The sequence below is a fragment of the Homo sapiens genome, chromosome 8, assembly GCF_000001405.40.
Source record: "Homo sapiens chromosome 8, GRCh38.p14 Primary Assembly".
Taxonomy (NCBI): Eukaryota; Metazoa; Chordata; class Mammalia; order Primates; family Hominidae; genus Homo; species Homo sapiens.
In genome coordinates this window covers 115950124-115964804 of record NC_000008.11, presented here as the reverse complement: position 1 = coordinate 115964804, position 14681 = coordinate 115950124, and the positions used below count along the sequence as shown (strand labels likewise).

Sequence of the window (14681 nt, the reverse complement as noted above, 5' to 3'; positions counted from 1 at the left end):
TCCCTAACATATGCTTTTTGTCCTGTTTCTCAGTCCAAGAGACAGAAATAAAATAAACACCTTAATGAACACAATGCTGTTCCTCTTGAGACTCCGTGCCTATCTTATGGACATAACATGGACCAGGGATTTTGAAGATTCTCCCTAGAGAGCAAAAACTTGCCTCATTTCTCGACCCAATGTGGTCTGCAGAAGTATTCAGTCTGGTTTGTTGCTAAATTGCTATAACATTCTCATAAGTTGCAATTTGCAATTATAAGTGAATTTGTGAAGTGTAAATCGTTCATTTTCCCCTTTGGAACTGATAGTAAAGCACTCCAAAATGGCAGTGAAGTTAGGGTGGGGTCATTTCAGACAGTGGGAAGTTGATCATGAAAATATGGTTCTCTGTTGGTCTTTTTGTTAATTGCAAAAACATGGAGGAACTCCTGTTGAGAAATCATACTGGAAACAAAATATTTGAATACTTCTCCCTAGTGATTACAGTCACATGATGAGAGGAAATGAGACTTTAGGGGAAAGGATTTTTAGGCATTGGGTGCTCAAGTGCTTATTTGTTTCAACTTGACTAGTCAGTGTGTGGACTCATCCAATAACCATTTATTTCTTTTATCAATGCAAACATCCTGACTGTCGTACATTCCAGTGAGGGGGAAATTCTGCAGAGATGTGCATAAACTCATCGCAGCTGCTCTACCATCTGACAACCTGATGGTCATGGGGGACCTCAATGCACGTGTTGGTGGTAGTGCCAAAATGTGGAAGAAAATTATTGGACCACAGAGGATTAGTCTCTTCCTGCATGGTGAACAGACCGAGCAATAACTTGTAATCACAGACAACAGCGTCAATCATATAAGTTAGGAGAAAAATATCATGGATATGCCACAAATCAAAAACAGTGACATCACACCCATTCTGCCATTGTTTCACAGCAGAATGCCAACAAGCTGACAATCTGAATGGGTCTGAGATCGTTACCCAATATGCTTCAAATCAGGAGAACATACGGGTGGGTGTTGTGCAGTACCTCTGAGATTGATATTTTAATAAATTCAAATCACAGCAAATAATAGTACTAATAAGTAAGTTTTCAAGGATAATAGAGCAACCATTATCATCTTGGTCGTTACTTGCCTATAAACACACCAAATTTCCAACAATATTGTGGAATTTTTCATTATATAACATTACTTTTAGTGGTTTCCCAACTCTGCAATATTGTAATTCTGGTTACTCCATGACATTTCCACCTCCTTACCCACACTATATGCATCTGTTGAAATCTCAACTACTTTAAAAGCTCAGCTCAAGTGTCACTTTTTCTTTAAACTTGCTCTTCCCACGCTAGATTGAAGTTATCTTTTTCTCCTCAGAAGACTGTAACATATCTTTGGTAAATGCTAGGGACTTAAGAATATGTACTTTTATTATAGTTACGTATATGTCTTAATTGACCTACAAAATGTTTTGCCTTCTGCAGTGCAGAAAACTTCATATGCCCATTTTGTTTTCCAAGCGCAAATATTAGTTACACAGTAAGTCCTCAATTAATAGTGTTTAATCAAAGCTATGTTAGTTTGGGTCTGACACTGATTTGAGCACCATATTTTGCTTCCAGATTCCTCCAGGACCCTGTTTCCTGAAGTCAGTTTGATTATGTCCTTCAAATTGGTATTTAGAGAATGATGGCTTCTATTTTTCTCCTTTAAGTGTCCTAAGACCATACAGAGTGTCTAGTCCTAGCAGTGTTCAAGGACAGTGATTTCAGCTCTGATTTGTCAAAGAAAAAATTGGCCATATGCAGTCTCCATGGTAAAAGCTAGTGGTAAATTCACTTCATGCCTCCTTGCAAACTGGCTTTCTAAAATACCATGGATAAACTTCTATAATATCCATAAAGAAACAATTATTTTCAATGATGTGAAATGAATGTTTAATATCCTTTTCCTGATTAGCCTGTTCTTTTGACCAATTTTCTCAATGATCCTTTTTTCTTAGAGAAGGTTGTATCCACTAATTGAATTAAAATTCAAGTGTTTAATACTTTAAAATAATAGTCAAGTGTGGTAAGAAATTCATGATGGGGGGAAATCAAAGTCTAAGTTTCTGAGAACACAATGGTAGTAAATGTAAGAAAAATGATCTCGTATGAAATGAAGTGAGTTCTATGACATCACAACATGGGTTCTAGCCTGAGGTTAGTGTGTGAAAGTTTAATAAACCCTTCTCTACGTTTCTTTCTCTCTGACAATACCCTCCTCCAATGGAAGGTTCTGTATGAGTTCATTTATAAAGGCCAGGTTCCCAGAACTTAATAAAATAAAATATTTTTTTAAAAGGCCGTGTAAAGTGTTTTGATCTAACTAGCGATGTATTTTATGTAAAAATATGGCTACTTCACAAAACTGTTTGAACCAAGCTATCACTTGGGCAGGACAAAGTCAAGTGCTGAAAAAAAATGAAACTTACTTTGCAGATCATTAAAATATGCATCCCCCTGCTTGTTTTCTTTTTCTTCTTAGTACATTTGGGACAATAAGAGAAGACTTATTTGCTTTTTAATGTTCCATGTGAGATTTAAGGGAACATAATTTCCTCTCTCCCAAAGGTAGGCATGGCTTGGATCATTGCTAAAATAAACAGTGCACAATGTGTGGCAAGATTGTGGCATGCTCTTTTTTCTAGGTGCCAAGATTTCAAAGGATAACATTGATTCTGCTCCTAGTGACTGTGGGATCTTACAATGTTCAACCCTGAATATTAGATTTTGCTCTGTGAGGTCAACACAGCTAACGATCAGGCTAGGAATAAAAGGGCATTGCCACCTTTGGAAAATTCCAAAGTAACAGGACAAATTTTTCATCAGAGTATTAAAGTTTTTCCTTCTCCAGTGAAAAGTGGAAAGAATTGGAGAGTGGGTGTCATTCTGCAGAGAGAAGAGGGCAGCCATCCCTCGTGAGACTCCGTCCTCAAGCACAGCATCCCCATGCCACATCTTGCTCCCATTACTGCTCCTTTCAACTTTTGCTGACAGCTAAAGTTCAGAGGTTGCCTTGTTGCCCTTGTAGTTGATGTTAGTTCAACATTAGACTCTAAAGGTGGAGCAAGCGGAGACATTAGTGCAAAGGGATAGGAGAAGAATTTGGCAGCCAAAAATAACATACGTTTTACACTTGGGGCAAGCATATAAATTGAAAATGGAAAAAGTGGACAAAAGTGAAATAATTGGTTAATATAAATACCTGTCAAACCTGCCTTTTTTTCTGAGATTCTAAGTTGAGAAACTAATACAATTTCTCACTGCCACTCTCAAAACTCACACTCTGTGTCTTTAAGAAAACCTCAGGGTCCTTTTATGAGTTTTGGATCAAGGAATCTGGCATGTAAGTGGGAAGGAGTTAAGAAACAAGGTTTCCTTAGCTATTTTATGCCAAAAATGTGTGTCTAGGAAGAAATGAAAAATACAGTATCTCCACTGGTTTGAAAATAACTACAGGCAATTGATGAAAGTCTCAAAATTACCAACACATTTTTTCCATTTTTTGAAGGCCAACAACTGAATCTGCTACCTGGGCTTAATGGGTCAGTTTGAGTCTAAAACAGTAAATGATGATAAAGTTATGATTAATCGAAGAGTTTAAGTTCATGTTATGAGTGATACTTAAGAATGAAACTGAAATAATTGGATGTGTCAAGCAGAGGTTTGATAAATCACAGTCTACTTTTATATTCAGGTGTTGAAAATGGGTCAAAAGGTTATATCAGGCTTTAGCTCTCATCAGCATGTTTCTAAAGCTTTTTGCTCTAAATTCTTAGGTGTTAGCCTGTTTGAACTATACTTCATTTAGATTATAAAATATACTCAAGATTAAGAGCTAAAATGCTTTTCTAATTAATCATAGGTTATAATCATAGAAAATATCTATTAGGTCTAAGGAAATTGTTTCTTCTATGGATAGGCAAGAAACTATCTTTTCTTTTCTTTTAGTAAATTTTTGTACTAGGTTATGTGAGTGGGAATAGCAAAGTGTTCTATGTAAAAAGAGAAACTACATTTAAGGGTGAAGGTAAACAGATTGAGTATAAACAGATTAAATGTTAGAGAATGAAAGAGAGGAACTCAGTGAATGTGGCAACAATAGGCTCTGGAGAGTGAGAGAGAGAGAGAGACGAGAGAGAGAGAGAGAGAGAGAGAGAGAGAGAGGGAGGGAGGGAGGGAGGGAGGGAGGGAGGGAGAGAGAGAGACCAGTGAGTTCCCAGAAAGAATGGCGGAAACCCATTTAACAGAGATGCAACATGTAACGTTTTAACTTGTTATAACAATTGGAACACCTGCATGCACCTACCAGAAATCCCTTACGTGAATGCACAACTGATTAAAACATTTCAGTTCAAAGGGTTGAGATAAGCCTGAGATAGAGGGGTACAGGAAATACCACAGGTACAGGAAATAGAAGCACTGGGTCACATTAGCCCCCAGGATTTCAAAGAAGTCTTGGGACATCATTTTGTTTACCTACTAGGTATGAAATAAGAGCTTTAAATGAATTTTACATAAAGCTAAGATACTAAAGTGAATTGAGCTGATACTTGGGTTATTTGATGTAGGATGCTTCTATTTTTTCCTCCCTTAAATGTTGTAACATCGTCCAAGAGACACCAGTCATGAAGGATACAGAACACATGGCATTTAGCCATAATTCATACTTAAATCACATATAAGCTCATCAAAATAAATGGGGCTAATATTATAGTCAGAGGATCTATCCCATTCATCTTCTCAAAATTTGTAATTAACCACAGCTTGGCACTAAGATAATTTCAACTTTAGATATATTTTACATATTACACCATATCCCCCTCCAAAATGGCTTCCTAAATGTTTTAATATTTTAAGATAACCTTAAATGCCCTAAAAACCATTGTGCTATTACAAATAAATGCATAAAATGGCAAAGTAAAGTGTGTGAGAAATTTCAGCAAACACTCAGGAATGCCTTTTCCTCCCTGGGGTGAAAAGATCTACAACAATATGCCTGTGTGTATCCACCATGTAACCTCATAAGGATATTTCCAAGATGACATTACCTAGAAATCCCTGGCTTTATTCATGTTCCCTCTTTAGAAGGATTTTCAAAGGAGTTCTAGGAAATATCTAATCCTAACAATGTGGTTGTTAGTAGCCTCAGAAACTCAAAGTGTCCCTTACAAGAAACTTGGCAAAAATTTGGTCTGACTTAAACCAGCCAAAGAACAATATAAAATAGTCTGAAAATTCAGTCACATTCAGAGAATTGAAAAGTAACTGAGACATTTCTCCAAATTAATTCCTACTTTATCTTTTCTCCATCCTCCCTCCAAATTAGCTTATATTCAATAACCACACCTGAGGCAAAGAATGTCTTTAACTTAATGCAAACTAGCATATTTTACAATATCATGATTACACAGGTGAAATTATTTTCTTACAATGTGTGTGTGTATGTAGATTTGAGCCAGAATTACAGAACTATGTGGAATATCGTATTCTATTCTATTCCAGAATAGACCTTGTCTAAGAAATTATGACTGACTGCTACAAAAACTCAAATCTTTTTGAGGGAAAAATTCATGAAAATGATTCCATTTTTTATACCAGAAAATACAAGTTTTTTTCTATGTTTCAACTACTTAAAATTCTCACCAGTAAAGACAGGTCTAATTTTTAGGAAATATTATTGAGAAGGTGGCTAAGTTCAAATATAGCCATATCTCTTTTGTTCTTAATTTAGATTTAAACCTTAATTTTTCTTTAAGGCAAGGGTTATGTGGAACAATACAAAAGTAAAATCTGAAAGACTGCATTAATTTAGAATGTCAGGAACATCTACATGCAAAAATCTAATATTTTGCCTTAATTATAACAAAATGCTAGATTAATCTGAACTGATACTCTTTAAATCCTTTCTAAAACAATGTGATATAGCAATAAATAAATAAACAAGTCCCCTAATTGAACAAAAACAGTTGTACTTTTAGATGCATTTTTATCACATTAATTGTATTATTTAATAGGACAACACATACTTTAAGGGATGGCATACATCAAAAATGAATGCATCTCATGGGCATTTAATTCTAAAATAATCTTGAATTATTTAAAGTCCAGACTAGGTTGAAATTTTGCTTGGAATTGGAGGATGATCTAAGGTTTTACTTGACATGGCCTTCTGTGTTTATTATTTATTAACCACTCTCAAGGCATATTTTTTTCATAATAATTATCACAATGACAATTAAATTTTTATATGGGATTATTGCATAAATGAATTGTTTATCCTTATATTTCCAAGCTCTTAAATAAAGAGATCAAAGTCTTCAGTTTATTAGAAGTTTAGAAGATAAAACTTACATCATAAAGAAAGCAATTCAAATCCTTAAAATGAAACTAAATTCAGTTTTTATTTAACTGCTTCATTCAAAATTCAAAATGTTTTTGCCTGTTTATTTGGTAATTTTTTTTACCAAATAAAAGACAGCAAATTCTTTTAGATTATTTGAATCCTTAGCCATTTGTGTTTTCTTGAATATTCTTGAACCCACACTGTTTCGAGCCTTTAGTTTTCAGTAACTAACATTACACATGAAACGGTTCTCAGTTATTCCTATCAAATTAGTTTAAATTATTTTCCTTGCCATGAAAAGATATCTTAGTGTATATATTATAAAGTACTTTTATTGTAAGACATTAATATTTAATTCCTATAAATTATCATTAATTATAAAGCTATTTCTTTATATGATATTTATTTTGCTAAATACAGTAATGATTTAGCATTAATCACTATATTTTGCTACCAATTATTAAGCACTTTCACAAACAACTTGTGAAGGTACCACTTTTTTTGCAACCAACAAAATTAATTAGTAATATAAAATTATATTTTCTTTTACTTCTTCTAGTTTAAATTTCAGATAAAGCTAGTTTTAGGAGATATAGTTTATAGTTATAAAAATTTGAAATATTGTAATTATTTTTTGAAGATTACCTTTGATCATAAATTTCTAACTTCTTTCTAGAACATGCTAGTAAATTTTCTAGTACTTCGTTTTTGCTATAGGGACAAAATAAATTTTTATATTTATATAATTATTATAAATATGGTATTTTTAAAATAAATATCTTATTTTCTGGACATTTCCACATTCAATACTCCATCTGAGATGCAAATTACAGAAATACTAAAATCATTTTTATTTTACTTTATTGAACATTACACAAGAGCAACAAAATTAAAACTTTTGGACAAAGAGTGTGTGCATGTGTGTGTGTGTGTGTGTTTGTATATGTGTTTAACCTCAGTATCATGACAGCTTATAGCAAATTTTATTTTTTAAAATAATTACTTTTGAAGTTATGCTTCCATTGCTGTGATCAGTTGTCTATTAAAATCAGTTGCAATGAAAAGTAAATCCAGAATAACATTATTTAAAATAAATTAGAACCTACAATCAAAATAAATACTTTTAAAATTAAAAGTACATTTAAACTTAAAACTGCACCAATAAAATACTTTAAGAATTAGATTAAACTTGTCTCTAAGGAAATTAAAATAGGACTCTGAGTTCAAAGAGAATTAATAATAATGTAAAATTTTTGTTTAAAAAGAACTCTAATGTGGATTTTAAAAATGCATTATAGTGGGTATCACATGGCTATGATATTTGGATTCTATTGGACAGCTTTTAAAACATAATGTAGCAGTTTTATTTAAGGCTGCCAATATTTTGAAATGCTGCAAACTGCAACTTTTGTAGCTATTTAAACTGAAGATGAACAATATCAGATATCTATTTTAAATCATGTAAGAAGATTTCCATCTAATCTATATAAATTCTTCCCCATCTAGTAGGAGGAACGAAATTCCCCCTGCCCCATGGAAGGTGAGAGGTACTCAGTACCTGCTTCAAAATATTAAGTATGAAAAGGGAAAAATAACAATTATTCAGTGGAGAAACTTGTAAACACTATCCTAACCAAGCGAGGAAGGTTAACATTACCAGTGATGTCATAGATACCATGCACCTCCTGATTTGATATGATGAGAAGGGCTTTTTTATCCTGTCATTGTGTTACTCTTTCCCAAAACCCATACACCCAAACAAATCATGAGAAAAACATTAGACAAATCACAGCATTTTACAAGCACATCTAGCCAATATTTTTCATTATCATGAAGGTGATGAAACATAAAAAGACTGAGAAAATGTCACAGACCAGAAAAAGTCAGAGGAGATGTGACAGCTAAAGACAATGTGGAAACCTGACACCAAAAGAGGACATTAATGGAAAAATAGGTGAAATCCAAATAAAGTCTAGAGTATAGTTTTGGAAAATGTGTAAGAGATTCAAAGGGATTAAACAATCCTACGGGTCACAAAGGCAAAAGTTTGAAGGCAACAGGCTAGATGAGAAATCTTACAGGTGCACAAGTAGATATAAGCTTTTAATTAGAATGTGGCTTTTGGTAGAGACACTTAGAAATAGTCAAAATGCCTACCAATATTGTAATGGATAAGTAAGTGACGGTATAATTGACTGATAAGTGCTACACATCAGTTAACAAGAATGAGCTGGAATTGAATCATCAGCAGTTAAATAAAAATAATGTTTAGTAAATAAAGCAAGTTGTCAAATGATATGTCAATGTAATGCTGTTTATTTACAGTTAAAACAACCTCAAAATAAGTACAAGAGTTTTCTTGTGGATACAACATATTTAGAAAAAAATATACATGGGAATGTCATGCATCTATTTCAACTTAGTGGTTTATTTTCAGTAGGGAAGGAAGATAAATTAGGAAATGTTATTCAAAGAGTTCTAATTTATAACATTTCATTTATTTAAACTAATCTTAGTCAAATGTTGTAAAATATTTTAAATGTATTATGATTACATTATTTACTTACATTATTCTAATTATAGTTTTTGTAATGAAAAATAACATAAATAAGATGGGAATTTAGGTAAGCTGTCAAGATAGGAGTCTAACAGGAAGTGACCGATAGGAGGAAACAGGAAGCCCTCAGAGATAGATGGTGCTTAAAAGTCCAAGTGATAGGCTGAAATAACCAAACCAGTTCCCCATTAGGTACCTGGTTTTCAGCTGAGTCTAGAGTTCAGCAGCAGATATCCAGCTTTTTGGATGAATCTGGTGGAAAGGGCCAAAAGCAACCAGCGTGCTTCGGATTCATACACAAGGACACAAACCTAAAATCTAGTTGTTAGAACTAAAGTTCAAGGTCAGGACAAAGACAATAGAAAGCAGAGATTTACATGAAGATCCATTAGGTTTGAATGAGAAAATGCCTTGACAGATTTGACGAAGTACTTCAACAGATATTGCTACCAGTGCCGCTGTGGTCTAGTTAATTACTCTTTCAGTGCCTTACTTCTCCCTTTATAAAATGGAGACAAAAACAAGACCTGCTTCATAGGATGATCATGAGTATTAAATGAATTGTTATATGTAAGATGGTTAGAACAATGCCTGGCACCGAATTAAGAGTAATGTAAGTACTTATAAAACAACAATAAATAGCACCATGTCTGGTAGAAGTACTTTTCTTTAGCCATGTTGATGCATTTCCACTCAAATAAATTAATAGTTTTGTTTGGCAGGAACAACACGGTCATCTGCCAAAGCATGAATTGACTACATGACCTTTTCTCTAAAAACTCCAGAATATATCTCATTTGTGTGTGTTGACAAGCATTGTAAAGTGAAAAGCTTTTCTTTCTCTTTTCTTTCATAGCAACACTCATTGACTTACATATTCTGGGTAAGACACAGAGCAAAGAACTGCAACAGAGGTTAAAGTTTCAGAAAGAGGCAAGTGTAAGTTATTGAATATTTACCAAGATACAAGATATCAAGATATTTGTTGAGTTTTTATGTAAAAACCTCAGTTTATACATAAAAACAAAGCCATGGTTTGATAGAATAAAACATCTCATTTTTTTAAAAGTATAATTTCACTATTTGTAGTTTGAAACAACTCATATTTTAAAAAATATTGTGAATGCTATGTGACATATGATCTGGTCAAAATACAAATGCTATTTCTTTTTGAAATTTTGAACTTTACCATTAGCTTCACTGCTAGCATTATTGCCTAACATTTTATTAAAACAATTATTTCTCTCCCCCACGTCAAACAGAAGTCTATATGAGCTCAGAAAATATTATGGCTTATTAAGTAACCTATTGTTCCATAACTGAAGATTTATACATACCTTTGTATATTAACATGCCTCTAGCCTTTAATGTACATAGCATGTCACTCAAGAAATATGTGAAACCTGTCTCCTGAGAAATGTGTGGAATATTCAGGCAGCTTCAAATGCTGTTGAGTAATGGTAGAGGGCTGAATTTACTAACATTATTGAAGGAAACTTAATTAAATAATGTATTATTTAAAATGTATTATTGTTTTGTCTCTTTTTAAATCTCAATATCATGCGATGTGGATGCATATGCCACTTGTCAATTACAACATTCCCATTCAGCACAAAACTCATAGCTGAGAGCATTGGGGATGGGAATATTTGTTTCTGCCAAGTTGTACTAAAAAAGCCTACCTTAGATGAGAATAAAATAGATACGTTACAGAAGTTACAGAAAACACCTGTGTCAAAAATTTCAGAAAATCACTTGCCTTGACTGATATAGTCGAGCATAACGTAGAGTTGTTTAATTTTGATTATTGTAATAAAGTGTTGAGTGATAAATTAAGTTATTAAATGATTGCTCTCATCTTGCTGTTAGGGGAGAGAGAGGAAGAAGCCCCTAGTGCTAAATCCTATTTTGATCATCTGCAATGGTCGAATAACAACAGTTCTTATTGTGCAGGTTTTTCTATTGCTCATCATTTAATCTGCTCTAATCATTGAATTGATTAACAAGTGACTCATCATCAAACCAACAGTCACTTAAACCTGATTAATTTATTCCTTCCACAAAAAAAACTGTAAGAATTTAATGAATATAACATATGGAGCATATAAAAGATATACCTATATATCTAAGGATATGGCAAATATATAAAGGCTGAACCATAAGAAACTGCCATTTATGTAAAACAAAAAGTCAAATGTCAGCAACTTCAGTTGCCTTAATTTAATATTTACAAATGTTAAGCAGAAATTATCAGTCTGGCCTTCCAAATATTTTAAAATATGTAGTCCTATACGTGAAATGAGAAATTTAAGTTTTCATGAATAAAATAGAATTATTTATCAATAGAATAAGATAAAGGCACGATCTGACATTATCTCTCTAAAAGAAAGCCCATAACCCAAATGGAAGGGAAGACATACGGCAAATTAAAACACTTACTGGTTCTCTTTTATTAAAAGTGACCTATCCTTGATTAAAAATTCATGTTCAATATAGATGCTATGAAGTAAGAGAAAAAAAAAAGACAGGGTCCCAAAAAGTAAGAAAAATAATTAAGAATATGCAAAATAGGACTAAGTTTTTGTTCTTTATGGTAACATTAATTCTTACTTTAGAAATGGAAGTCTGTTTTTATTATAACACTTATTCTGTGTACTTCAGGTGACTCTAACACTACAGGTTACCCATTCCCTGCTGGGGAATGGCACCTAGGGCTGACAAACTGGAGTTCTCCAATACCCTGACCAGTAGGTTTGGATCAGAAATAGGCATGTTACAGACATTGAGTTATTTGATAGATAGACTCTTCTGAAGAGAGTATCTCCTTTCTTCGGGGATAGTGGCTGCAAATATTTTAGTCTGAAGCTTCTGGGTGAAATTGTCCACTTTAGAAACACCTTGCCTAAGAGTACAGCCAACATGAAAAAGAGCTCAGAAAGACATTGGTGTTGGAATGAGTTGAGGATAAGGTGAATAACAGAGTACGCTCCTAAGAGTAAAGTCTCACATGTGAGGTACGAGGCGGAAGGAGAGCAAAGGCGAGGCTGTCTCAAGTATCTCAAGCATTAAGCATCAGTCCTTGGGGTAGGAAGGAAGGAAATAGAACCTGAAATGGGCCATGGACAATGGTGCTGAGAAAAAGGCTGGGTGGGGATCAAAGATGAAGTTGACCTACTTCATAATTTTCTCACGCCAGCCCTGCTTATGCAGCTGCCAGGTATTTATCTGAAAAATATTTATAATCTGAGTTGGTGTGGTTTAGGCATGTTGCACAGGGAAGTAAAAGAAGTAGACAGAGCAACCTGGGTGTAGCTATAAGGAACGGACTGGTTATTCTTAACCAAAGGCTTTGAGCTTGGTGCCTAAGGTTTCTGTGTCCTTGCAATTGAACTGTCCATGACATATCTATCTTCTCGGTATCCAGCTGACTTACACTTCAAATATGTAATGATGATAGACTCAAAGCAGTTGATTCAATGACAATGTCCTTGACAGGATTTGACTTGACAATGGAAAAAATAAACACTGTAAAACCAAAATGGATTTACAAATTGGACTTAAGTGTGGACATTGGATAGAAAAGATTATCGATTATCACTTTTTCAAAACTACGTTTCAAAATTAGATCATGACAGGTTTCAATATGCAGGTCAATGTTACAGTGACAGTATATGCTTGATAGTTAAAAGTTTAATGCTGGAATCAGTCTGACTTGAAGGAAAACATTCCTTCAAGTTTTGCCTTTTCCAGAAAAAAAAAAAACTGGTTATCTTCTATAAGGCATATTTAAGCATTATTATCATTTGCTCTGCTTTTTATTTTTAATTATTATGGATATGTAATAGTTATACATATTTATGGAAAGTAAGTGATGTTTTGATACAAGATACAATGTATAATGATAAAATCAGGGTAATTGGGTATTCATCACTTCAAGCATTTATCAGTTCTTTGTGTTAACACTTCAATCCCATCCTTTTAGTTATTTTTAAATATGCAATAAATTATTGTTAACTATAGTTTCCCTATTGAGCACCTTGATTTTTTAACAATGTCCTTGTAGCTGCAATTTCTTTTATTCTGTCATTGTTATTACACATCCTGTGCTCAGTAATCAAATTATGATAATGCTCTTCTGTCCACCAATTCCCTGGACAGTTTGCCCACCACTTACTGGAGTTTAATAAAATTGGGGAAGTATATTCTAATGGCATCTATAATGGTTTTGTAATTTCAATACAGTATAAGTAGTAAAGATGTGTATTTATCCCCATTTTTCTTTTCTGTTCAGAAGAAGCAGCCTTCACTATATCAGACAGATGAATCCAGCTCCAATCAATAATTGAGTTTTGGATTGGAGGAAAGAATATTTGGACATTAAAGAAAATAAGCAGAGAGTGTAAGATGGGGAAAAACAGATATTAAGATTAATAAAAAAGAAATCTGTAAGCTTTCTCCAAATGAACCACAATATCATAATCCTCAATTAAAAATTAAGCTAAGTAAACCTCTCATATTACCAATTCCTGATTCAGCATCACTGAAAAATATATTGATGGCTGTTCTTGGCTTTGGTCCTTTCTTCCCTGCTATGGAGAGCCTATTAATGGAAATTGCACATAAGTTTTCTTGACTTTGTTTCTACACATTTATTCCTATGTCAGCAGATAAGAATGGCAACTATTTTTGAAGCAAAAACAGCATTAAGAAAATATAATTTCCTGTTCCATAGAGTCTACCAGAATTAGTGTATTACTGGTTTGAAAACCAATGCCTAAGAAGTGATGCAGTAACTTTTCTTTGATGGGCTGTTAAGAATCATGATGCAGTCATTTTATCTGCTATTTTTGGCTGAACTTGAGGGAAGGAAGTATGTCTGGAGATAAAAGTTTTCTTGGAAAATATGGAGAAATGGTATATGATTCCTCTCCCTTCTACCCGTCTGCTGATAGTAGATAGGAGCACATTGGGCTGAATAGTAGAAGAGAAACTATTTTCAGGCAACTTTGGCAAAACCTGCCTTCAGCTCATTGTTACCATAATTTCTCCATTTCGGAATCCTATAGGTATACAGTAAATCCAGTTTCGTCAACCCTAGAATATTCTCCTTCCTCTCTTCTAGGCCTAATCTCTTCAATTCTCAAGATCATGCTTAACATGACCACATTAATTACAGCAGAGTGAGACAGGCACAGAAGAGGAGGGACTTGGAACCTGACCTAAATACAGAAGTGTCAAGCCTAGAAGGAAGTAAAATTTGGAAGAAAGTACATGGCATATGAAAGAAAAATAACAACCCAACAACATCTGACATTATGGAATACTTAAATAAAAATAAAATTTTAGATTCATTTCTAGCATGGCTTCTAAAGTGAAATAACGAACATTTACTGAGTACATATTGCATAATATATGTACTTTGCATATATTAACACAACAGCTTTATGAGATGGTCACACTCATTTTCACCTTCATTTTTAGGCAAAGATGCTGAGTCAATGAAAGGAAACTAACTTGATCATGTCACCTGCTTGAAAATGGTGGCGCTATAAGCCCAGATAAAGTAAATCCAGAACATGTGCTATTACTCATAGACACCTGTGCAATGAGGCCAATAAGGCAAGTACTATCAGGAGGTTGGGAGAGGCATCCAGAAGTGACTGGGCACATAGCACTGCTCAGGCAGGTGCAGGCCCATAGTGCCTAATGGTATTTAAGAGCGTAACTCTAGTATCAGA

At 33.8% G+C, this 14681-nt stretch overlaps 1 long non-coding RNA gene across 1 annotated transcript in view; it reads left to right on the top strand.

The window, feature by feature from the left end:
- Positions 1-14294, top strand: part of LINC00536 (long intergenic non-protein coding RNA 536) — a 374549-nt gene extending 360255 nt beyond the window's left edge. Inside the window, exons 11-14 of the long non-coding RNA NR_046215.1 lie at positions 647-1012; positions 9800-9876; positions 13235-13342; positions 14066-14294. This is a non-coding gene — a long non-coding RNA (long intergenic non-protein coding RNA 536). The remainder of the gene's footprint in view (positions 1-646; positions 1013-9799; positions 9877-13234; positions 13343-14065) is intronic.
- The last annotated feature ends 387 nt before the right edge of the window (positions 14295-14681 follow it).